The sequence below is a fragment of the Homo sapiens genome, chromosome 4 (genome assembly GCF_000001405.40).
Source record: "Homo sapiens chromosome 4, GRCh38.p14 Primary Assembly".
In the NCBI taxonomy this organism is placed as follows: Eukaryota; Metazoa; Chordata; class Mammalia; order Primates; family Hominidae; genus Homo; species Homo sapiens.
This window is the reverse complement of record NC_000004.12, coordinates 109983761-110007044: the sequence shown is the minus strand read 5'-3', so window position 1 is coordinate 110007044 and position 23284 is coordinate 109983761. Positions and strand designations below refer to the sequence as shown.

Here is a 23284-nt window from a genome sequence, read left to right as displayed (position 1 = left end):
AGACACATGCCCATTATTTCTGTCTCAAGTCAAAATCCAACCCTCTGCACTGCAAATTTTCTAACCTCGTGCCTCTCTGTCAGAAGAACATAGGTCCCGAAATTCTGGGCTGAGGTGGGGAAAGGAGCTGATAGAACTACATTTGTTTCTGCTCTTTCTTCTAGTTTGAGCGTTCAGCTCTCTCCCACTCCCACTGATATCTACAGCAGCAGTTGCTGTCAACGACAGTTATGACGGCTGTGGGGGACTGAGCTCAGCAGCCCCAGGCCTCCCAACATAGCTCTGAGCCAACAAGTTGCTCATGACAGCAGCAAATGCTTTTGATTTTTTAATAGTCATACACAGATTGTGTTTCTCCTTCATTCCCATGATGATGAATTAATGAGATGAATTAAACCTGCTACTCAAAACCTGAATGAAATACCATGTAGACTGACAAGTGACATCTGGGTAATTTAGAAGTTCGCAAAGTCATGAGGCCTCAAAGAACCAACACATTCTAGAGCTTAGTCCTAGAATCACACACTTGTGGAATTGATAAAGACTGATAAAGACTGAAGGGATCTTAGAGATCATCTAATCCAAACCCCTTGTACTGAGTGGGGAGCAGAAGTCTGCATAGGTTAAAGGAATTGCTCAAGATTAGATAGCCAACTGGTGGGAGAGTAAGGCTAGAACTCATGTTCTTTCTCATGCTTTAGAGAAAAGGTCTCAGTCTGTCACTCAGGCTGGAGTGCAGTGGTGCTATCATAGCTCACTGCAACCTTGAACTCTTGGGTTCAAGTGACCCTCCTGCTTCAGTCTCTTGAGTACCTGAAACTGCAAGTGTGTACCACCACACCCAGCAAAGTTTTTTTTTTTAATCTTTTTAAAGAAATATGATCTTGCTATATTGTCCGGGCTGGTCCCAAGCTCCTGGCCTCAAGCAATCCTGCCTTGGCCTCCCAAAGCATGGGGATTACAGGCATGAGCAAACTTGCCCAGCCTCTATTTTTTTCCCCCATACTTGAGTCCAACCAAAAAATAAATAAATAAATAAGGAAACACTGAATGCCTATTACAGGTAGGAAAAGATGATCACCTGGTAGTCAAAAGCACAGTTACAGGAAAGCTACTTTCTGGGAATTCACTGTGAGATGGGAGCTGGGGAGTAGGGGTAATAATGTGGGAAGGACCCCAAACATTGCCTTTGCTCCTCCATAACCTCTCTGTAATAGCTCTTCCCTAAGGATTCAATCCTCCATGGACCTGCCATGTATTCCAGTCTCTTCCACAATATATACCACAAATAATGCCAACAGCACACACTGAATCAGTCCTTAACTCTGACAGGTTTCTAGAAATGGAAATTCCCTTAACTGATTCAAGAATGTGTAGCCTGTTTCAAGACTGCCCTCTAGTGTTCCAAGATCAATTACTGAAGTGGATGATTTATGAAACATCTTGAATTTCCCAAACCTCTGTGCTTTTCGGAAAATATCTAGGATTGTCAGATAAAATAAAGAACCCAGTTAAATTTAATTTTGAATTTAAATTTGAACTTTCAGTATAAGTATGAATTTAACTAGGCATCCTATATTTTTATTTGTTAAATCTGGCAACTATTTTGCTACTGAAATTTGGGGAGTTGAAATGTGTGTGAGAAAAGAAATATTAAGAAAATAAAAGAAATATTAAGAAATATTAAGAAAATTAAGAAAATTGAGTGCAGTGGCTCATGCCTGCAATTCCAGCACTTTGAGAGGCCCGGGCAGGTGGATTGCTTGAGCCCAAGAGTTTGAGACCAGCCTGGGAAACATGGTGAAACTCTGTCTCTACAAAAAATACAAAAATTAGCTGGGCGTGGCGGTGTGTGCCGGTAGTCCCAGCTATTTGGGAGGCTGAGCTGGGAGGATTGTTTGAGCCCAGGAGTTCGAGGCTGCAGTGAGCAGTGAGTGGTTGGATTACTGCACTCCAGCCTGGGCAACAGAGCAAGATCCTGTCCAAAAAAAAAAAAAAAAAAAAAAAAGACAGAGAAAAAGAAAAAGAAAAGAAAGAAAGAAAGAAAATAAATTAGAAGCACAATCTTGGGTTTTTAAGACATGTATCTGGAATGTATTAACTAAAAATATGGAAAGCCTTCACATAACACATACAAATCTAAGTTATAGAAAGAATCTACATGAAAGAAAAAAATTCCAAAAATTTATTGTGCCATTAAATTATGGCATTATTATAACTCATCTGATTCCTTTAGTTAACAACACAGTTCCCCCACCCTCCCACCCAGGACCTCCCTAGCTGATGTGGTCTTGGCTAACACTGACACCAGCTGGAAGCTATAACTGATTCCAGTCATTCTGAACTCAGTGAAAAAATAGAAAAAATGAATAGGGGTTAATATCAAGCCAATTCCTTGCTTCATCTGCTTTGGTCACATTACCCAAGGTTGAGGGCAAGAGGACATCCCATCCTCAGTGTCAGCAGGCCTGCGACTCCTCACATCTCTGCTCGACTCCTCATAAGGATTCTTTGGGTTTTTCGATAGCAGCTTCTGAGTCCTGTGATAAAGCCAAAATTTGAGACAATCTCACAACAAAACAAAATACTCAGCCCACTCAGTGATGATCAGGGACAACTAACTGCTTTTGCTACTAAAATTTAAGTACTTGTGTGGGAGAGAAGAAATATGAAGATAACTAGGAACATAACTTTAGATGTTTAAGGCAGTCTTTTCTGCAGAACTCAAAATGCTTTCCAGACAGTGTTTCACTCTTTCCAAGGTTCTGTGAGGTAGAGGGTGTGTGTGTGTTTGTGTGTGTGTGTGTGTGTGTGTGTGTGTGTGTGTGTATGTATGCCCATGTATGTTGGGGGGAATAGCCTTGCATTCATTCATTCACAGGTATCTATTGAGTACTAACTATACCCCAGGCACTGTCCTAGTACTGATGATATAGCAATGAAAAAACAACTAATTTTGCAGGGAGGAGTGGGGCAGTCTGTGGAAAAAATATCTCAGCAACTGTGTGAGGCAGACTATGTTAGCTCCATTTACAAGTGAAGCCATTGGGGCTTGGAAATGGCAGTGACTCACCTAAGGCACACAGCTACCAAGGGTAGTGTAAGAAGTCGGTCATGATGACACAAAGCCTAGGCTGCTCTTACTGGCCCACTGCAATCTCTCACTCATAAAGAAATTAGAGGCAAAGACAGAAGGAGTGGATGACCCAAGATAAGAAAATCTCATAGTGGCTAAGCCAGGAAATACACTAGGTATCTTGCTTCCAAATCCAGTTTTTTAGAGTACTGTCTTGTTTGACATTCAACGCTAAGTCTATACACGGCGTCATTCACTAGGGGTGGGGGTGGGGAGATTTAGCATGGAGATGGATCCCCATCCTCAAAGCAGTAGCCCCTAGAGCAGTGCATCTGTGAGACTCCACAATAACGCCACTGTCCTGGGGCAGATAGGCAGCTTAATTGCCTCTAGGAATGCAACCCTCTGTCAAAAGCCCTACCTGGACGTTCCAGGAAGAGTGATAAGGATAGGAGGGGCTGCTGTGAATCTGGCATCACAGACAGTACCAAGAGATGGTGTGGGTTATTATGTGTTTTAATCAAAGGCTTCAAGGAAAAAAATTGAAACAAGTGGCTAATATAAACAATTCCAAAGTTGCAAAGGTACAACGTTATAATTTGTACCAGTCAGAATGGCTATTAATAAAAAGTCAAGAAAAAAAAGATGCTCATGAAATTTTGGAGAAAAGGAAACACTTATACACTGTTGGAGAGAGAGGAAATTATTTCAATCATTATGGAAAGCGGTACGGTGATGCTTCAAAGAGTTAACTGCAGAACTACCATTTGACCCAGCAATTCCATTACTGGGTATATACCCAGAGGAATATAAATCATTCTACCATAAAGACACATGGATGTCAATGATCACAGCAGCACTGTTCGCAATGGCAAAGACACGGAATCAACCTAAATGCCCATCAATGACAGACTGGATAAAGAAAATATGGCACATACACACCATGGAATACTATGCAACCATAAAAAGGAATGAGATCATGTCTTTTGTAGGAACATGGATGGAGCTGGAGGCTATTATTCTTAGCAAACTAACACAGGAACAGAAAACCAAATATCACATATTCTAACTTCTAAGTGGGAGCTAAATGATGGGAACTCAGGAACACAAAGAAAGGAACAACAGACACTGGGGGCTACCTGAGGGTGGAGGGTGGGAGGAGGAACAGGAGCAGAAAACATAACCGTTGGGTACTGGGCTTAATACCTGGGTGATGAAATAATCTGTACAACAAACCCCAGTGACACAAGTTTACCTGTGTAACAAACCTTTACATATACCCCTGAACCTAAAATAAAAGTTAAAAAAAAACCCACAAAAAAACAAAGTTATACTTTGTGATGAAATACTTCCTGTTGATTTTCTTACAAGGGAGTCCTTCCAAGAAATCACATGTTTTAAACTAATAAGATTAGAATACTTGAAAAATTTATTTAGTTTCACAAACATTAGTCTTTTTTGTTTTGTTTTGTTTTTGAGACAGAATCTCGCTTTGTCACCCAGGCTGGAGAGCAGTGGTGCAATCACGGCTTACTGTAATCACTGCCTCCCTGGCTCAAGCGATCCTCCCACCTTAGCCTCCCAAGTAGGTGGTACTATAGCTGTGTGCCACCATGCCTGGGTAATTTTTTGTAATTTTAGTAGAGGCAGGGTTTTGCCATGGTGCCCAGGTTGGTTTGAACTCCTGGGCTCAAGCAATCTGCCTGTCTTGGCCTCCCAAAATGCTGGGATTATAGACACGAGCCACCACACCCAGCACACAAACAATTAATCCTTTGAGAGACACAGAAGACAAACGGTATCAAACAAGCTAGACAAGACAGGCAAGGAATGGTATAAGGGAGGAAATAACTGATTTTAACCCTTTAAAGAAAAACAGTTAGCATGTCTAACTTAAAAACTCAATGTTAGAGCTGTATTTGTTGGTACAGTTGAGTATGACATGGCAACATTTAGACTAGCAGTTTTAATTTGATCTTGTCAGAATTGATCTATAGTGCAAACGTAGTTATGCACATAGCTGAAACTTTGCGGAGAGGTAAGCAGGTACACTGATCAGAATTGTTAGGTAAATAACCATAGATTCACTCAGGAAGAATTGTACAACTCTGGATGCATTTCAGTGAAGAGAAAAAGAAAGGGTTCTGATGAGCTTTCTTTTTGAAGGAATAGTCCTTTCACTTCTGATTTTTGGAGTATGAGAGTCTGAGGTTGAAGATACTCTTATATGTATGTAAAGTCTATAGTCATCTTTCAGCTGAGCTGGTCTTTGAATTCCAAGTTTAAAAAGCCAGCAATTTGCCGTTAGCTTTCAATCCAGATCTCTGAAAAATGCCAACAGAACATAAGACATACTATATCATAACACAACAAATAGGAAAAAACACTTAATAATTATGGCACGCATGAACTTAAGTTTCTAGTTTCCATTTTTTTTTCCTGCCCTTTGGCAATGATCCAATGGGATGAACCATTGATCATTCAATATTCTTTCTACACATATCCAAGATATTGATTACACACCAGGCTAAAAATTACAATGTTATTGATGGACTACTGAATTAAAATGTCAAGTTTGTGCCTAAGAATCTTGTCTCTCAAGAGGTGGTAGAAAAGGGCTTAGAGCATATGACTCTTTTGGGGGAAGGTTACAGTTCATAAAAAATCAAAATAACAGATAGCATTTATTAATTCCTATATGCCAGACTTACACTAAAGCCTTTACTTAGGTTAACCCAATTAATCTCACAATAACCCTTGAGATAAGTACTATTCTTGTTCCTACTTTATAGTAAAGGAAATTAATGAATACAGAGGTTAGGACACATGTCTGGTGTTATTTAGACACTAACTTGGATTTGAACCTGTATAATCTGATTCCAGAGCCTGTGCTCTTAACCACTACACTAGGCTATAGCAGGATCTCTGATAAGTACATCTTGGCTGATATGTTGAATTTTCCAGAACACAAGACAGTTGCCACTTGAGTGGTTGTGTAGTACCCATAAATGTGGTTAAATTTTTATCTACAGATGGTGGCAGATATTTTGTACATCTCAGAGAATTGGGACCTATTAGTCAAGTGGGTCTTAGGTCCTCCAGCCATGAAATGATAAGATTGAACTAGATAATTCCATAAAGTCCCCTTCAGCCCTAAAGTTTTATGACTCACTGATTTTGTACAACACAAACTATAACCGTACATAAAATGCTTTTCAATATTGATGATAATAGAGGAAGCTGTCCTACTTTCTAAGAAAACAGAAAATGAGCAGTGTGATGCCTGTGCCTGCACCCTAATGTAGTGTTAGTTTTAAAGAATTAAATGTATAAATGTTATTGTCTACAGTTTTTAATTGTTAACTTGAAATTATTAAAAGCACAAAATCTGAGGACCAGAAATTTCCTTCCAAATTAGGGAAGATATTGATTTTCTTTTATGACAGTTAATATTTTGTGGAAAATCAACTCAATGGAAGGCAGCAATGAAAAATTATAGTTATGCAGGCTATGGGGGGAGCATATAATATTAAACAAAGAGAGTGGAACGCAAAACCATATTGTGATTGATAAATAACACATATACTATGAAGGTGTATGGACAATGACTGGAATGGAACAAGGAAAACGTAAAAGCACTGATGTTTCAGAGCAATGAAATCCTGAGCTAACAGTAAAAATTGTACTGTTATTTCACCTTTTTTTTTTTTTTTTTTTTGACACGGAGTCTCGCTCTATCGCCCATGCTGGAGTGGAGTGGCATGATCTTGGCTCACTGCAACCCCTGCCTCCCAAGTTCAAGTAATTCTCATGCCTCAGCCTCCCGAGTAGCTGAGATTACTGGTGTGCATCACTACGCCTGTTACTTTTTGCCTTTTTAGTGGAGACGGGGTTTCACCATGTTGGCCAGGCTGGTCTCGAACTTCTGACCTCAAGTGATCTGCCTGCCTCGGCCTCCCAAAGTGCTGGGATTGCAGGCATGGGTCACTGCACCCAGCCTATTTCACGTTTTAAATGTAGTATGTAGAGGTACTATTTCATACATCTCATCTCAAGGAGACAGGCATTCCCCTGGGAGGTCTTAGAAAGAGGTTTCCAGTACCAAAGGAAAGACAGGGTCACCTGTAGTAGTGGGCCCCCCACAGGCTCAGGAGGAGCAGCATGACAAGCACCACCACGCAGACAGCCACCACGATGACCTTCTGCTGCTGCCCGTGGCCAGCGTGGCGCAGTTCCCACCACTTCAGGTCTCGGTACTGACATCGCTCCCCGATGTAGCCAACAACACAGCTGTGACAACACACAAACAGAGGTCATCAGAGATGCCTGGCCAAAAACGCTGATAGTTTTGACACTCAGTATTCAGCTGTCTCTCAACCTCTGCATTTCCAGACTCAGCTCTTTAGAAACATATAGAAAATCCATCAGGGGTCAGTTGAAAGCGCTATGATTTACAAGTTAATGCAGCATGGACTTCTCCCTTTCGTCTGTTTGCTCTGGGATTTATGGGGGATTATTTGCATACTGCCTCTATAAGGCATTACAGGACATTGATTAAAGATCAGTTTCTGTTAGGCTAAAATCCTGAGGAGCCACCTTTTAAAACCAACACAAAGCAACTCTGCCCTAAGAGCCAAGGGAGTTTTGGAAACAAATGTTTGGCCAGATTGCAATGAGTATAGGTGAAAGGAAAGGAGAATTTGAAGGCAGAGTTCCTCACTTGAAACCAGGCTATAAAAGAAGAATGTGTACAGTTTCTAAACAGAACACATAACCTAGTCTGCAGAGAAAACTTTTTTCCTTTAAAAAAAAAAATCACTACTAGTGCAAGGGAAGACCCAGTACAACATACATACAGGCATTTGCCTATTTTCTTCAATGAGAGAAAAAGCTATATGGAGGAAAAAGGGACGTTCACCTACAAACACCCTGCTGTCCCATTAGTGAAACTGTCACTAGAGTGAACTGCTGAACTTTTTTGAAGTAAATGAAGCAATGCTGCCATCTACTGGGAATGTGCATTTCTAGAAACAATTAAGATCTCAGGTAAACATCTGTATTCTATTATCCTTTGCAAAAGCATCAACTTTGAAAAACATCCTATTAAACACTCTGTAATGCCCACTTATTAAAAATTCCTCCCTTTGGTCCCTGGATCAACTATTTATTCATCCATGTCCCCACTTTATTCCAAAAGGACTTAACGGAATAAAAATACAGAGAACTGACACCAGTGCCCATAGTGAGAAGAGGCAGCATGGAAAAAACACTGGACAAAGCTCCAGAAGATCTGGGCTCTAGGCCTGTCTCTACCTTTAGCTGGTCAGAGGGACTGGGCAACTCACTCACAGAGGAAGGAGGGAAATGGATTAGTACTTGTTAACCATCTTGTGTGTTTGACATCCTGCTAGGCACTTTTACTTATTTTATTTTTGGTGGCATATTCCTGTATTATGGATAAGGAAACTGAGGCTCAAGGAGTTTGTACAACGTCACACAGCTATGAGTGACAGGTTTGACTCCAATGGTTCTCTGATTTCAAAGCCTATGTTCTTTCCACTATACCATGCTGCTTCCAAAAAGAGTTTTATGCTCTATTCACCTCTGAAAAGCTATCTTCTGGAACTAACCATGCAAGAGATATCAGGATCTGAGTGCAAAAGCATAAAGGACCATCATTCTTGCAGGCTTTCTTGGATGCTGTTTTAATTCTAGCTATCTTTGGTTACAGCCATTTACTATCAATGCCTAGCAGCACCACTTTTAAACTGTTGGATGTTAATGGGCCACACCTCTGATCCTTTCAGAAAGTCTGGGGTCTTGAGGAATATGTCAGTCCCTTAGCCAAGAGTCCTGGAGATCCAAGTCAGCTGCAATAGTAGAGCCTCACTGAGTCTTATAAGGCCCAGAATAGTCATTCAGCATTTTCCAGGGTGGGAGGAGGACACAGGATACTAGTTCTTTGGTTATGAATTAGTTCTTCTGTTAAACCAAACAAAAGATTCTGTGGCCAAATAAGTTTGCCTTTCCATAGCCAAATAATTTTGAGACATTCTAGACTCAATACAGATAAACAAGGCTTATTTTATTTTATTTTATTTTTTTATGGACAGGGTCTCACTCTGTCTCCCAGGCTGGAGTGCAGTGGTGCCATCACAACTCATTGCAATCTCAGCTTCCTGGGCTCAAGCGATTCTCCCACCTCAGCCTCCCAAGTAGCTGGAAATACAGATGTGTACCACCATACCTGGCTAACTTTGGGAGGCCCAGGCGGGCGGATCACGAGGTCAGGAGATGGAGACCATCCTGGCTAACACGGTGAAACCCCATCTCTACTAAAAATATAAAAAATGGTGGCAGGTGCCTGTAGTCCCAGCTAGTCTGGAGGCTGAGGCAGGAGAATGGCGTGAATCCGGGAGGCGGAGCTTGCAGTGAGCTGAGATTGCGCCACTGCACTCCAGCCTGGGCGACAGAGCGAGACTCCATCACAAAAAAAAAGAAAAAAAAAATTTGGTAGAGATGGAGTCTCACCATGTTACCCGGGCTGGTAAACAAGACTTTTTAATGTGTTGTGGTATATACTATGAATCAAGAATTGAGGGCTAGACAGAAGATTAGAAATTATGGTTTGGGAGTTACGCAGCTGGAGGCTACAAGATTCTGAACCTCCCTATACTGCTCCTAAGATCAATGCTTGAGATATTCTGTAGACCCTGCACTTGATGGATCAGCTGACACCACCCGGATCAATTAACTGGCTCATCTGAAGTTATGGCCCCCACCCAGGAACTGACTCAGCGCAAGAAGACAGCTTCAACTCTCTGTGATTTCATCCCTGACCCATCAGCACTCCTGGCTCACTGGCTTCCCCTAACCCACCAAGCTGTCCTTAAAAACTCTGCTCCCCGAATGCTCAGGGAAACCAATTTGAGTAATAATAAGACGATGGTCTCCTGAAAAAAAAAAATTGAGGGTAGAGTATGATGCATCTCTCAACGTGATTTGACCATACAGCCTGTTTTTAAAAAGCATTTCACAGGACTGATGTTGGGGGGTCTTGGTCTAAAGAAGACCTGTTCAGAAGGGTGTTTGGCTGAAAGACAGAATGAACGAGGACCTCCTCTGAGCCCAGAAGGTTTGGAGCCTCCTGAGCATCTCCAAACCAGGAAATCTTCGAGGAATACCTTGGGCATGGAGACTCCCAACTCTCACTTCCTCTGCATCACCCCGGGGGCACCCTGTGGTTTCTTGTGGCTGAGGGGAACTTCCAGTTCCTCTAAGAAAGGAAGAAAGAGCTGGCTCTTCCAAAACCTGCTTACAGCATGAAGAGCACTCTGTACAGAATGACACCTGCCTAGGAAGTGTTTCTAATAAAAGTTGGATGGGTAAAGCACTTCCTAGAGACTTGTTATTAAGGAATTAATAAAAGATAAGGTGAGGTCATCAGGGCAGGAGGAGGCAAGGGTTGAATAGTTAATTAAACCACATTTTTATTAAATATACAATTTAAAAACAAGGTTATGATCCAGATTACTGTGAACTCTGGTAATATTTTAAATATTGCTTTAGGTTCAAGGTCCTTCAATTTGAGTCTTATCTCCAGTTTGTCATTTGTAGCAACTCATGTTTAAAACATTATCAGAGAAATATGATATTTTCATCAGGATTTAATGACAGAAAGAAAAGCAGTGTGTTAAAGAGTTCATCAATCATTTAATAAATGGATGTTATCAGATCCAAATGAAAACATTGTTCTAAATGCAGTATGTAACCCTGTAGTACCCTTTATATTATTATAATGATTTTTATAGTCTAAAGTATCATGGAGGAAAACAACCATGACCTAATACATTCGGACATTTATTTTTGTAATTTCATTATTTGGGATGATCAGAAACAATGAACAGGCAAAACCAATTAGATTCTTAACATTAAAACTAGCAATAACTATTGCAAATACCCAATTTATCATAGGTTAGGAAATTATAGCATGTAAATATGAATATGAAAACAGAATTCTATAAGGACTGAGTCATTTTTACTAGTATTCATGAGCAATTTTTCACTATTTTTGTCATGCGGACATGATTTCTAGTGCAAGGCCATACACTTTGTCACAGAATATAGCTTACTCTTCCACAAATTTAGTTATTCTGTTCATTATTACTGATGAAATAAGAGAAGACTTTAAGGTTATAGTAGCTATTTGTGAGGATCAGACTATTTCATCACCCCTCCCTCAGGCACAGAGAAAATTATCAATGGATCAGGAGCCTGACCCTGGGAGACGTATTAGTTTTTTGGTATCTATCAGTTTCCTCCTATTGCCTTGAAAATATGAAATGAATTAAAAGTAAAATTTGAGGCAGAACTGGCTATTGTGGGTTTGGGTTTTGTTAAAGGGTCCACAGGAAAGGTTTTCGGAGTGAGCACAGTGGGAATGTCTCATAGTTTTAGGGCTTCCTCAAATCTCCTTTCCAGGTTGACACGTTACCCACTGTGAAACCCTTATGGGGGCAAAAAGGGAGCAAAAAGCAGCAGCTGCAGTATCAGCAATTGTTACTGAACAACAAAATGTAAAAGTCAACTGTTAGGAAGTGAAGAAAAAATATACATATGATTAGTTTTGAAGAAAAATATTTTTGGACTCTGGCAAGAAGTCCAGTGTGAATATGTACCAAACTTTTGTAAATCCAGAAACAGATCACGGATGCTCACACATAATATAAAGCACATTTGATGGAAAAAAAAAGTTTTAAGGAATTATCTCACAAACCTAAGTTTTTCAACCAGGATGAGACATTTAATCCCTAGACTATACTAGTAGTAACATCAAATTATTTCAGTAAAAGGGGAAATCACCAACTCCTTAGATTTATACTTATCACCGGTAACTAGAAGGGGGCATCGTGATACACAAGGAGCATGCAATGAAGTGCACACACGTGGTTCATATGTGTATGTTTATATTTTTCCAAAAGAACACCTAATTGCAGAAAAACATCCTGAGTGTAAATTTTACAAATTAGCTACAAGTTATGGACTGAATAGCATCTCTCTGTGCCATCAGCAAGACAGTTTAACTTACTTGCATGCATACTTGTCCAATGCTTCAATATACATGCACACACCATCATGGAGGCAGTACCCATCGTGGGACAGGGGACATTCAGAGTCACTATTTCTTACGGAATAGTGGTGGTCATCTTCCCTGAGGTGAGGGGGTGGAGTAGAGTCTAAAAGAACCCAAGACATTACTTTTACTTTCTGAATGGATTAGTGTCTTTCAAGTATCAATATGAGGAACTAGTTTCTGTGAATAGTTTGTGACATAAATCTTTTAGTGACAGAAGAACTACTAGAAGGGACAATAGTTTCACTTTCCTAGCTAGACCTTAGTCATTCACTATGAAACCAGCCGTTCTTCCTTTGGGCTCAGTATTATCTGATACATAAAGCATATTGGAGGCAGGTAAAAGAACACCCAGTCCTAAGTCGCCATGTGAATTCAGAGTCACTGATCTCATAAAAACAAACCTGTCACACACAAACATACACTAACCATGTGAAGTGACAGTTAGCTTCAAGGTCTCACTGAACAACTGGTAACTCTATGGTTTAAAACCTACCCATCAATGTGCAGTCCGTTACCTCCAATATCCTGGAGTCTCGAAAATTTTTTCTCACAGTGCTTTCTTCTAAAAACTAACCTTCAGAGGAGCCCTCAAGGACAAGACTGTAGCAACTCTGGCAGGAAGAAAATGTTCCCGTAACAGAGGGCATGCCAAAATATAATAGTAAAGTCTCTTTTATTGAATGGTTCACTGCTCCTTAAAAGGTAAACATGTGCAGCTGACTACATAAATATAAGCAGTTTTTCAGTACCTTTAAGAAGAGCAAATTATTTGAGAAAAATAATATGCTAAAAAAAAAAAAACAGAGACCAAGTAAGCACAGAATTTTTCTTCTTAGGATGTTTTCTGCTTATAGGGCTGACAGGCAAAAAGTGGGCAGTGATGGGAAAGACCCCCATCCTGGTCTCCAGGGTCTAGGTGAAGCCAGCTCCCCTTCTGGGGTGCTGATGGTGAGATGTTACTGCTGTTATGGGAAGAAGATTCAGGAAGCAGGAGTCAACCATTATGAATATTGAGAAAAGAAAGAGAAGAGAGCTGGAGTTCTAATTCAGAACAAGAAATACTGCCTTTTTAAAGTAATATTTTAAAATCCTTGAAAGTGATTTAAAATGCTGAGTCCAGACATTCTCACCGACCTGCCTAGCCCTGCAAAACTTATCCAGCAGCCCCACAAATTGACATTACAAATAGTGAGATTAGTTGCACAGTTGAAGAGAGATACCCATGTTCCCATCTTTATTGGATTGTGAGTAATAAAAAAGGATTTATTCCAGATGCTATTAAATTAAGAAAACTTGGACCATTTCAAATTCTCAAGCCCAGCATCGTCCTAATCAGGAAAGCCAGCTCTGCAGCCTGCCTGAACTGAATGATTTTTAGAATCTCTAATGCAAATAGAGATTAGGGTATAGAATATCCCCGAGCCAAGTCCCTCCCCTTCACTGTAGACCACCCACCAACCTACCAGGGCAAATCAGTCCTGGTTCAGACAGGCGTCCAGCACACATGCAGGTATAGCCTCCCTCTGTATTTGTGCAGCTGGCATTCTCTCCACAGCTGTGCTCCCCCAGTTGGCACTCATCAATATCTGTCAGAAAAGACAGAGTACGGGAGAGAAAAGTGGGGTACAGAAAAAGAGGGTTTTATAGTTGGACAGCCTTTGGAAGAGGAGCTTCATCAGCTTCTGTCATGCTATATGTTCTCAGAGACCTATATATTTTTTTAATATATATTTTTTATTATACTTAAAGTTCTAGGGTTCACATGCACAAGGTGCAGGTTTGTTACATATGTATACATGTGCCATGTTGGTGTGCTGCACCCATTAACTCGTCATTTATTTTAGGTGTATCTCCTAATGCTATCCCTCCCCCCTCCCCCCACCCCACAACAGGCCCCTGTGTGTGATGTTCCCCACCCTGTGTCCAAGTGTTCTCATTGTTCAATTCCCACCTATGAGTAAGAACATGCAGTGTTTGGTTTTTTGTCCTTGTGATAGTTTGCTGAGAATGATGGCTTCCAGCTTCATCCATGTCCCTACAAAGGACATGAACTCATCATTTTTTATGGTTGCATAGTATTCCATGGTGTATATGTGCCACATTTTCTTAATCCAGTCTATCATTGTTGGACATTTGGGTTGGTTCCAAGTCTTTGCTATTGTGAATAGTGCTGCAATAAACATACGTGTGCATGTGTCTTTATAGAAGCATGATTTATATTCCTTTGGGTATATACCCAGTAATGGGATGGCTGGGTCAAATGGTATTTCTAGTTCTAGATCCCTGAAGGAATCACCACACTATCTTCCACAGGGGTTGAACTAGTTTACAGTCCCACCAACAGTGTAAAAGTGTTCCTATTTGTCCATATCCTCTCCAGCACCTGTTGTTTCCTGACTTTAAAAATATGGAACGCTTCACGAATTTGCATGTCCTCCTTGCGCAGGGGCCATGCTAATCTTCTCTGTATCATTCCAATTTTAGTATATGTGCTGCCAAAGCGAGCACAGCCCTATACATTTTTAGGTTTAAGGGGACTTTCATGAATGTTGGAGAGATGAACTAGGTCCTACAACGCATGCCCATGCACGTGTTGTTTTCCTTTTTTGTTTCCGTTCTTTCTCTCTCTGTCTTTTTTTTTTTTTTTTTTTTTTTTTTTTTTAAAGAATCTTGCTTGGTTGCTAAGGATGAGGTACAGTGGTGTGATCATGGCTCATTGTAGCCTTGACCTCCTAGGGTCAAGCAATTCTTCCAGCTCAACCCACCAAGTAGCTTGGACCACAGGCTTGCATCACTATGATTGGTTAGTTCTTGTTTGCTTGTTTGTTTTTAATTTTTTTTTTGTGGAGAACAGTGTTTCGCTATGTTGCCCAGGCTGTCTCAAACTCCTGGCCTCAAGTGATCCTCCTGCCTTGGCCTCCCAGAGTGTTGGGATTACAGGCATGAGCCACCACACCCAGCCCCATGCAGGTGTTCTAAGCTCCTGAGAGAGGCTGGAAGCTTTCTTCCTGCTTTGAAGGAAAGGAGACTTCCCAAAGTTGGAGATTAATAAACAACCTCTAGGCAAACATTTAAAAGTTCAGATCCTAAAGATTCATACTTAACTCTTTTGTATAGACATCCTGTCATTGACATACATATTATATCAAATACAACAGTTTTGCTTTTTATATAAGAATAAACTATATCAGAAAAGTCATCCTTTCTTTCCCAACTACCCACCATTTTTTCTTTCTCAGCTACTGCCACCCTAACATTTAGGGCCTCTCTTCCTCTCAATTTTACATTACTGCAAGAACAGCCTTACTCATTCCTGGATCCCATGTTTCCTCCGCGCCATGCCTAAACACCAGTGCCACATTATTCTCCCTCCAGCACAACGATGATAAACCCATCATTGCACCACTTTACTCAAATGCTGCCAGTGGCTCCCTGTTGCCTAGAACTTTGCTGTCCAACTTCCTAGCCTTCGCCATTTGAGAGTATTGAGTACCTGAAATGCATCTAGTTCATATTAAGAAGTGCTGTGAGTATAAAACACACATTAGAGTTTGAAGACTTAGTACCAAAATAAAAAAGAATATTAAATATCTCAATAATTTTTACACTGATATTAAAATGTTAATATTTTGGATATATTTGAATACATAAAATATTATTGCTAAAATTCATTTCACCTGTTTCATTTTACAGTTGTAATGTGGTTAGTAGAAACTTTGGGACAACACTGACTGTCTGACCCTCAGCCAGTTTCACTGGAGAAGTGAAACCTCAGTGACTAACCCTCAGATTTTAGTCTTCCGCAGAGGTAACCCAACCCATCTGTTACAGGCTGAAATGTGTCCCTGCCCCTCCAATTCATATGTTGAGCCCTAACTCCCAAAGTGACTGTATTTGAAGAAAGCATCTACCAAGAGGAAAGTAAGGTTACATGGGGTCATAAGGGTGGGGTCCTAATCCAATAGCATCGGTGTCCTTAAAAGAAGAGGAAGAAGAAAACAAAAGAGGAAGAGAAACTAGAGCGTTCTCTTGCTCTCTGTCTCCCTTTCTCTCTCTCTCCACATCAAAGAGGGAAGGCCATATGAGAACACAGTGAGCAGGTGGCCATCTGCAAGCCAGGAAGAGATCCTTCACCCAAAACCAAATCAGCCAGCACCTTGATCTAGGACTTCGAGCCTCCAGAACCATGAGAGGATATATTTCTGTTGCTTAGGCCATCCAGTCTAGGATATTTTGTTATGGCATACACTACCTTATCAGCCTTAGTTTCTGTTCTTCCCCTCATATAACCTAAACTTAGTGCTCAACTAGGCTACTCTCTACCCTTAATGGCAGTCATGTGATCTGTTCATGCCTGGACTCCTCCCATCCCTTCACATTTCTGCAAATGAAATTACTTATCCCCCATGCTCCTTCCAAAATGACACTTCCTCCCTGAAATCTTTCCCAATACCTCAAACAAATATTTCTCCCAGTTCTGAACTTTCATTGTGGTTTTTACTTCTCTTATGATGTGCACTCTTCTTCATCACTGATCACAGTTATATTTCTTTTAGGTCACGTTTTCCTTGCAATCAAAGACTACCTTCCTCATCCTGATATTTCTCAGGGTTTCCAGTACTGTGGCCTTATTCTTAATAGGGGCCAATTAAATATTTAACACATTGAATTGCTATCCCAGATGGCCCAAACTGACTCTTTTATGAGTTCCTGATATAATTTCAATAAACTATCACCTTGAGAGAAAGAGAGAGCTTTTCCAAAGCAAAGACAAAGAAGTATGCTTGACCAAGAAACTCAACTACTCTTAATAATAATAAGGATAAAATTTTACATAGCACTTTTTATGTGCCAGACAAGGTTCGAAGTATTATAACTACATATATATATGGGGCGGGGAGAGAGAGTAAGAGTGAGCTGGGGGAGAGAGAATAGAGGAGCAAGCCCACTGCTTTCATGGAGTTTGAGGACTCCGTGCCAACCATGCAGGCAGGGTGAGCACACCCCATTGCGTGCTCGATACTGGAAGGAGATGAGTTAGTAACAGTGTGAGAAACCAGAGCCTAACGAGTTTAAACATCCAAGAAGAGATACCTTCCTTTCTCTTCAAAGGAAATTAAATATGAAATCAGCTTGTCTAAATTATCTATGGGCCTGCTTAATTAGAGCAGTGACATTTTCCTGACTGACAGCCAAATATGTGCTTAAAAGAGTGTTTACAGATGTCTGTGGATTCCACAAAACTAATCCAATAAAGGTCTGATTTAAATCAACCAGATTCAAAAGATTGATAGTTATGATTGATATTTCATCTTTAACCTTAGCAAGTGGGAGAAAGCAGTATCATTTGAGCTTCTTATCAGTTTCTTAGGTTTTCAGAAGGAGGGAAAGAAAATACTGAAAGAGAAGTTTTAAAGCGCTGTAAAACTTCAGATAATCACTTCACCGTGCCTCAGACGGCTTCAGGCAGGTTTTCACTTGTACGTGATGCGATGCTACTGACACCTGGAAACGTATGAGACATCCACGACGCGAACTCCCAATCCAACGTGCCACACCCAGACCTTGCCAGAGGACGGGGATTACGAAAGAGGGTTGAATCATTCTTTACTTGTATTTCAACGTCAGTGGCTTGACTCTCCCACCTATTGAACTTATCAAGAAATGTGAGAGGAGCCCTTTGACAAGCCACACCTCCTTTTCTTTATACACACAGCAGTGACTTCCAACAAACTGTCATCAGCTCTGCAGTTCACCACATTTCTCTTACCAAATTCACTGACAAGTAAATGCTGTCCAACTCCCCCCATGATGGCTCAAGGTGGGAAGTATTGATGAGACACTGGTGTCACTCAAACCCCAGAAAGAATTAGAAAGGCAGAGGAGTAAACAGCCTCCAAAGGGGCTTGAAGCTGACTAGGGCAGTAATAACACAAGGGCACAAACTTGACTGTTCACCAAGAATGGAAATACGTCAGTTTGAGCAGGTCGCACAACTCTTTAAATCTTGACATGTGTGTCACCCCAATTATATCCTGTCTTCCCTCTGCTCATGCACCCACATTGTTTCCCGATTTCTGAGGCCTGCCTCTGCCCTCCTCCCCAGCACATGTGTCCTCTTACCAAGACAGTGAATCCCATCTCCTTGGTAGCCTTCTGAGCACCGGCAGACATAACCACCTTCGGTGTTGATGCACTTGGAGGAGGCAGGGGGGCACACTGGGACACCCATCTCACATTCATCTATATCTGTGGGCAAAATTATGAACTAGTGCAATATTTAGGCAATCCTGATATAAATGGGACTAGTTGGAAAGAATAAGCATAATCGTATATTCAATTCTTATTCAGTCCTTTACAGGTGCTGTTGCCAACATCAGGCACGCCCTGCATCTTGGACATAAAGTTCACAAGTTACTGCTGAATTAGTCTTTACAGAGTTCCCACCTATCCGATTAGGCAAATATGTAAATAAATCACTTTCTGCCAGAGTTTCAGACCATAAGGACTGAGATCTTTCCAGCAATCGTTAAATTATAATTTTGAGGCTATTAATATAAAATAGGAACCCATCCATTAATCTATTCATTTGACTAAAACTTATGACCTAAGCTTCTGGGGTAAAAAAAAAAAAAAAAAAGTTGTGTTTTCATTGGAATTGGTGAAGTCATAAACTTGACTTGAACTCAAATTCATGCTTCTAAAGCTAATTATAAATTCTTCCCCTTAATGACAACTGCATATATTGTGTAACCATAAATTTTACTATAAACTCAATGTATTTGTGTAAATATATTTATATGTCTCATTTTCTATGCATGTCATTCAATTTTTTTTTTTAGCTAACATCAAATAACTTATTCAAATCTGCTGATTACATAAATCCTTCTGGAGTTTTTGAGTCAGAAAGAGCAGAAAAAATGTTTCTGGTTCAGTATTGTCCAAATATGTGAATTTGCCCTTTTCTCTTACCAGAACATAGTTTTCCATCCCCAGCAAATCCTTTCAAACACTGACATGTGGCATCCTCTCCCTCTGAAATACACCGAGCATACATGCTGCATCCCACAGGAGCACAGTCATCTTGATCTACAAATAGCAAGAATCCCGTGCAGTTATTTCTAGACCTTAGAGAAGAAAACGGACTTTAATCTTCTGGTTCTACAGAACAGTCCACCACTTCCTTTCCCAAGTTCTGGGACAGGTTAACCTCCAAATAGAAACGCTTAGTTGACCTATAAACTATACTGCATTAAAAGATCCATAGCTGGCTGGGTGCAGTGGTTCATGCTTGTAATCCCAGCACTTTGGGAAGCTGAGGATGGATTACTTGAGCCCAGGAGTTCGAGACCAGCCTGGGCAACATGGTGAAACTCTGTCTCTACTGAAAACTGGTGTATAGTCCCAGCTACTTGGGGGGCTGAGGTAGGAGAATCAGGAGGTTGATGCGGCCGTGAGACAAGATGGTGCCACTGCACTCCAGCCTGGGTGACAAAGTGAGACACTGTCAAAAAAAGAAAAAAAAAGAGATGCATAGTCCCAAAGTCCCATAGCCATGTTTCTGTTTATGTGCCCTCAAAGAACTTTAGTTTTAAAGCACTATCTGGTGTGTTCAAGGAACCCTATATGAACTTATTTATAATTTTTAAAAGCATTTGCAAATGTAAATTATAAAATTGCTAGAAGCAAATAGACTCAAATTTGAAAGGTCTGTTGCTTGTTTTGAAACTTCCCAACCATTTTGACAACAAAAGGAGTCAATCTATTCTTATCCCCCAAAGACACACAGACTAATATTTAGCAAGTAGATCTGTGCACCAACATGGCAAAGAAATTCAATTATAAAAAGATTTACTGACAATTTACTAATATCATATATAATAGAATATGTATGTCACAATGTGTGTTTATTATCAAGATTTATGTAGTGACTTGCACACCTCAAGGCACTTTTACAAAATCATGAACCATACAAGTTAAGTGCAGTAAATGGATCATTTCATTTCATACTCCATTGAAATCCAAGTGCCCTGGGGAACAGAGTTATATGTTGAGCCATAAACATGAGCAGGTTTTTTTTTTTTCTCTTTACTTATGTATGTAATCATTCTCCAAATGCCACTCTGCCCTACCTTTTTGGAGTTGGGGGAATCTGACATACCACAGTAGGATATAATTTATCATCTGTCTATTCACTGGTAAGCTTGCTCATCTTAGTACAGAAGAGATTTTTTAAAAAGCCCTCCAAACTTGCCGATAAATTAAAGAAAGTTAAATGATCTAAGTAGGATTCAGGTGGCATGTGAATGCAGACATTGGGTAATTGCATTTGATTTGCTTAGCTACTTGAGCGAGAAGATTTCTCTTGTGGGAGCAGATGCCTTTCATGCTTGCTTGGTTATCTCCTGTCACTCATGACTCTTAGAGATGGATAAGATCAGACCAAATCAATTATCCATTTAATTCAGCATTTATTTGGAAGACTAGCTCCCAAATCACAAGGCTGCTCAGAGTGTAGAGTGGACAGTATCCGATTACCCAAGATGTTTTAAATCACTTGCAGAATTATCTTAAATTAGAATATGATTCAGGATTTACTTGGTAACATGCAAACCCAAGGCAGCTGTGCGTAATGAAAAGCAATAGTTATGCAGTTGTAGGAGGGACAGGCTACAGCCAAAGTTGTTGTTGTTGTTTCTGCCACAAAGAAGCTCTGGAAGAAATAAATGCCTGTGTTCACATTCCTCTTCTCTAAAACAGCAGTGACAATTTCTGCCAGGTCTATTTTTCATGATGGTTCTAAGGACTAGAATAAAAAGTGACCTTAAAAAAAACCCCTTTGATCAAGATATTTAGTCAAATATTTGATCAAACTCTCTTTGATACATATTTAAATAAGGATGACAAAGAAAGATATTGTGATAATTTAAATAAGAATTAACCTTATCACACTAGAAGAGACCCAAGGTCCTGTTAGTGAAACTAATATAATTCATTTGAAAGTACCTACTACATATTAGGCCTTCCTGAGAGGCAAAAATACAGTGGTGAAGAATAGGGCTCTGCTATTGACAAAGGCTCTGCTGTTTTGCATAATTAGTTATTGAAGTACAGTGTGATGAATGTGATCAAGGGGCAGAAGTGAGGTTCTAAGAGAGCTGTAATAGGCAGCCCTAGCCCGGTCAGGAACTAGGAAAGGCTTTCTGAGCCAGAGGGCGAAGGACACACAGGACGTTGAAGGGCTAAGAAACACACCATGGGCTGAAAAAACAACTAGCACACATGTCCATGTCTGTTAGAAACAAGGCCAGGATGAGGGAAGCAGGCCACAGAAAGCCGAAGGCAAGAGGGCTGGTGAGCCCTTGTTGAGGCTGGGGAGGTGTCTAAAGGTTGTTTCATACAGGGCCCAAAAGGCCACGTTAAGAATTTTAGATTATACTCTAAAATCCTAATGTGGAGTTTTCACATTGTCTTTTAGCCATAGACACTTTGTTGATGTGAAATCTCACTCTGAAACAGAAATTAGACCCCCAAGCCTGACTTAGGTGGAAGTAAGACTTCACAAGCTAGGACAACACAGAACACAATCCAGGTATGGAAAGATGAGGGGTTTTTCACCAGGACAATCAGCTCCCTCTATTCTGTACTAGGCTCCAGGTATTAAGCCAAATTCACAAATACTTTGGTCACTTAATCACTCCCCCATTCCCACCTATCTGTCATTTATCTTAGTCTTTCAGTCCCTCAACCATTAGTCTTTCAAAATATGCTCTATGAATCTCTAGGGATTCCTGGTGACTTTGCAAAGGTTCTCTACATCCCTAACATTGGTTTAAAGTATTTTATTCTTTCATGCTGTTTGTCTCCACAACTAACTGTGGCCTTGAGGACTGGGATGGTATTTAGCTCATCTTGGTATCCCCAGCACTTAGCACAGTGTATGCCAAATAAATTGCTAAACACACTATATTCCTAATGTTAATGAAGTTTTCCAGAACGTCTTATTTTCACATTAATTAATTATTTGGTCATAATTTTCAAAAACCTTTGGTCAAGTCACTAACTTAATAGATCTCAGTCTCTCTGCTTTCATATCTGTGAACTGATTTGTAATGAGGATCAAATTAGAGATTATGGTTGACCCTTGAACAACACGGGTTTGAACTGCACAGGTCCACTTATACCTGGATTTTTTTCAACTGAACACAGATCAGTATTATTGGTGGGATGTGAAACCTGCCTACACCGATGCCTGATGTTTTGTATACCTGGGTTCCATGGGGTGACTTTGGGACTTGCATATGTGCAGATTTTGATATACTTGGGAATCCTGGAATCAATCCCCTGTGGATACAGATGGATGACTGTATATATAATCTAACATTCTCTGCAAATGTTATTGTTATTACTAAAATTATGAACCTCCTTATTTATATCTTATAAAAAAATCACACTGATAAGGTGAGGTAAGAGGTACCCAGAGCCACGTACATCAACAAAGTAGTTTGCAGACCACAAAAGTTGGGTAAAGCATCTCCTTAAAAGTCCTAATGTGGAGTTTTGAAATATTTTCCTTTTTTTTTTTTGCCACATACATCTTGTTAAAGTGTTACTTAGTAACACAAACAAATAAAATGTTTCAAAGTCAAATTGCACTGCTTGAAGGGCAGTGACCTAAAGTGAAAGGATGGGGTTTGCAGAAGCTCTAGGGCTGAGCTGAACCCAGCTGGAAAAACCACTGACCTCCTAGGTGAATATGGAACAAGAAAGACTTAAGTTCCCTAAAGTTGTTACATACTGAACACATGATTTGGCATTTTAGTGACAAATGTGCAACACAGAAGAAAAGAATTCCAACATTTGCTGTTTGTGGACTTTCTGCAGCAATTGAAGTGCTCAACCTATATTTGTTTATCAATTACTATCAACTTTTCAGGCTAATAGAAAAACAGCAAGGTGGACCAAATACCAAAAATATCAGGGGTGGATGGAAATACATTCAAATATGTTGTCCTGTGTTTTACTTTTGTTTCCAAGTTACTTTGTTTCTTCACAGAACAAAGACTCACACC

The 23284-nt window shown here is 40.2% G+C and overlaps 1 protein-coding gene and 1 pseudogene across 4 annotated transcripts in view, besides 3 other annotated features; both read right to left on the bottom strand.

Annotated features, from left to right (window-relative positions):
• EGF (epidermal growth factor) overlaps window positions 1-23284 on the bottom strand; it is a 100884-nt gene that overhangs the window by 6722 nt on the left and 70878 nt on the right. For 2 of the 4 annotated variants that reach the window (NM_001963.6, NM_001178131.3), the window contains 6 exons: window positions 19185-19301; window positions 18336-18461; window positions 13676-13798; window positions 12165-12312; window positions 7199-7366; window positions 2423-2540 (listed from right to left, as the gene is read on the bottom strand). In NM_001963.6, the coding sequence (NP_001954.2) occupies window positions 2423-2540; window positions 7199-7366; window positions 12165-12312; window positions 13676-13798; window positions 18336-18461; window positions 19185-19301 (800 nt within the window). The remainder of the gene's footprint in view (window positions 1-2422; window positions 2541-7198; window positions 7367-12164; window positions 12313-13675; window positions 13799-18335; window positions 18462-19184; window positions 19302-23284) is intronic. The other 2 variants (NM_001178130.3, NM_001357021.2) reach the window with 2 other exon arrangements.
• Window positions 12258-12547: an enhancer, noted in NCBI's record as "active region_21813". NCBI's record gives its function as "activates an Ori minimal core promoter by ATAC-STARR-seq in GM12878 lymphoblastoid cells {active_cell/tissue: GM12878}" and the evidence as "EXISTENCE:reporter gene assay evidence [ECO:0000049][PMID:35858748]".
• Window positions 14615-14720, bottom strand: RNU6-35P (RNA, U6 small nuclear 35, pseudogene; annotated as a pseudogene).
• Window positions 17124-18323: an enhancer, noted in NCBI's record as "CDK7 strongly-dependent group 2 enhancer chr4:110909878-110911077 (GRCh37/hg19 assembly coordinates)". NCBI's record gives its function as "activates an origin of replication core promoter dependent on BRD2, BRD4, P300/CBP, MED14 and CDK7 cofactors, with strong dependence on CDK7, by STARR-seq in HCT116 cells {active_cell/tissue: HCT116}" and the evidence as "EXISTENCE:reporter gene assay evidence [ECO:0000049][PMID:35650434]".
• Window positions 17798-18092: a silencer, noted in NCBI's record as "tiled region #5378; HepG2 Repressive non-DNase unmatched - State 24:Quies". NCBI's record gives its function as "represses a minimal TATA promoter and a strong SV40 promoter by Sharpr-MPRA in HepG2 cells {active_cell/tissue: HepG2}" and the evidence as "EXISTENCE:reporter gene assay evidence [ECO:0000049][PMID:27701403]".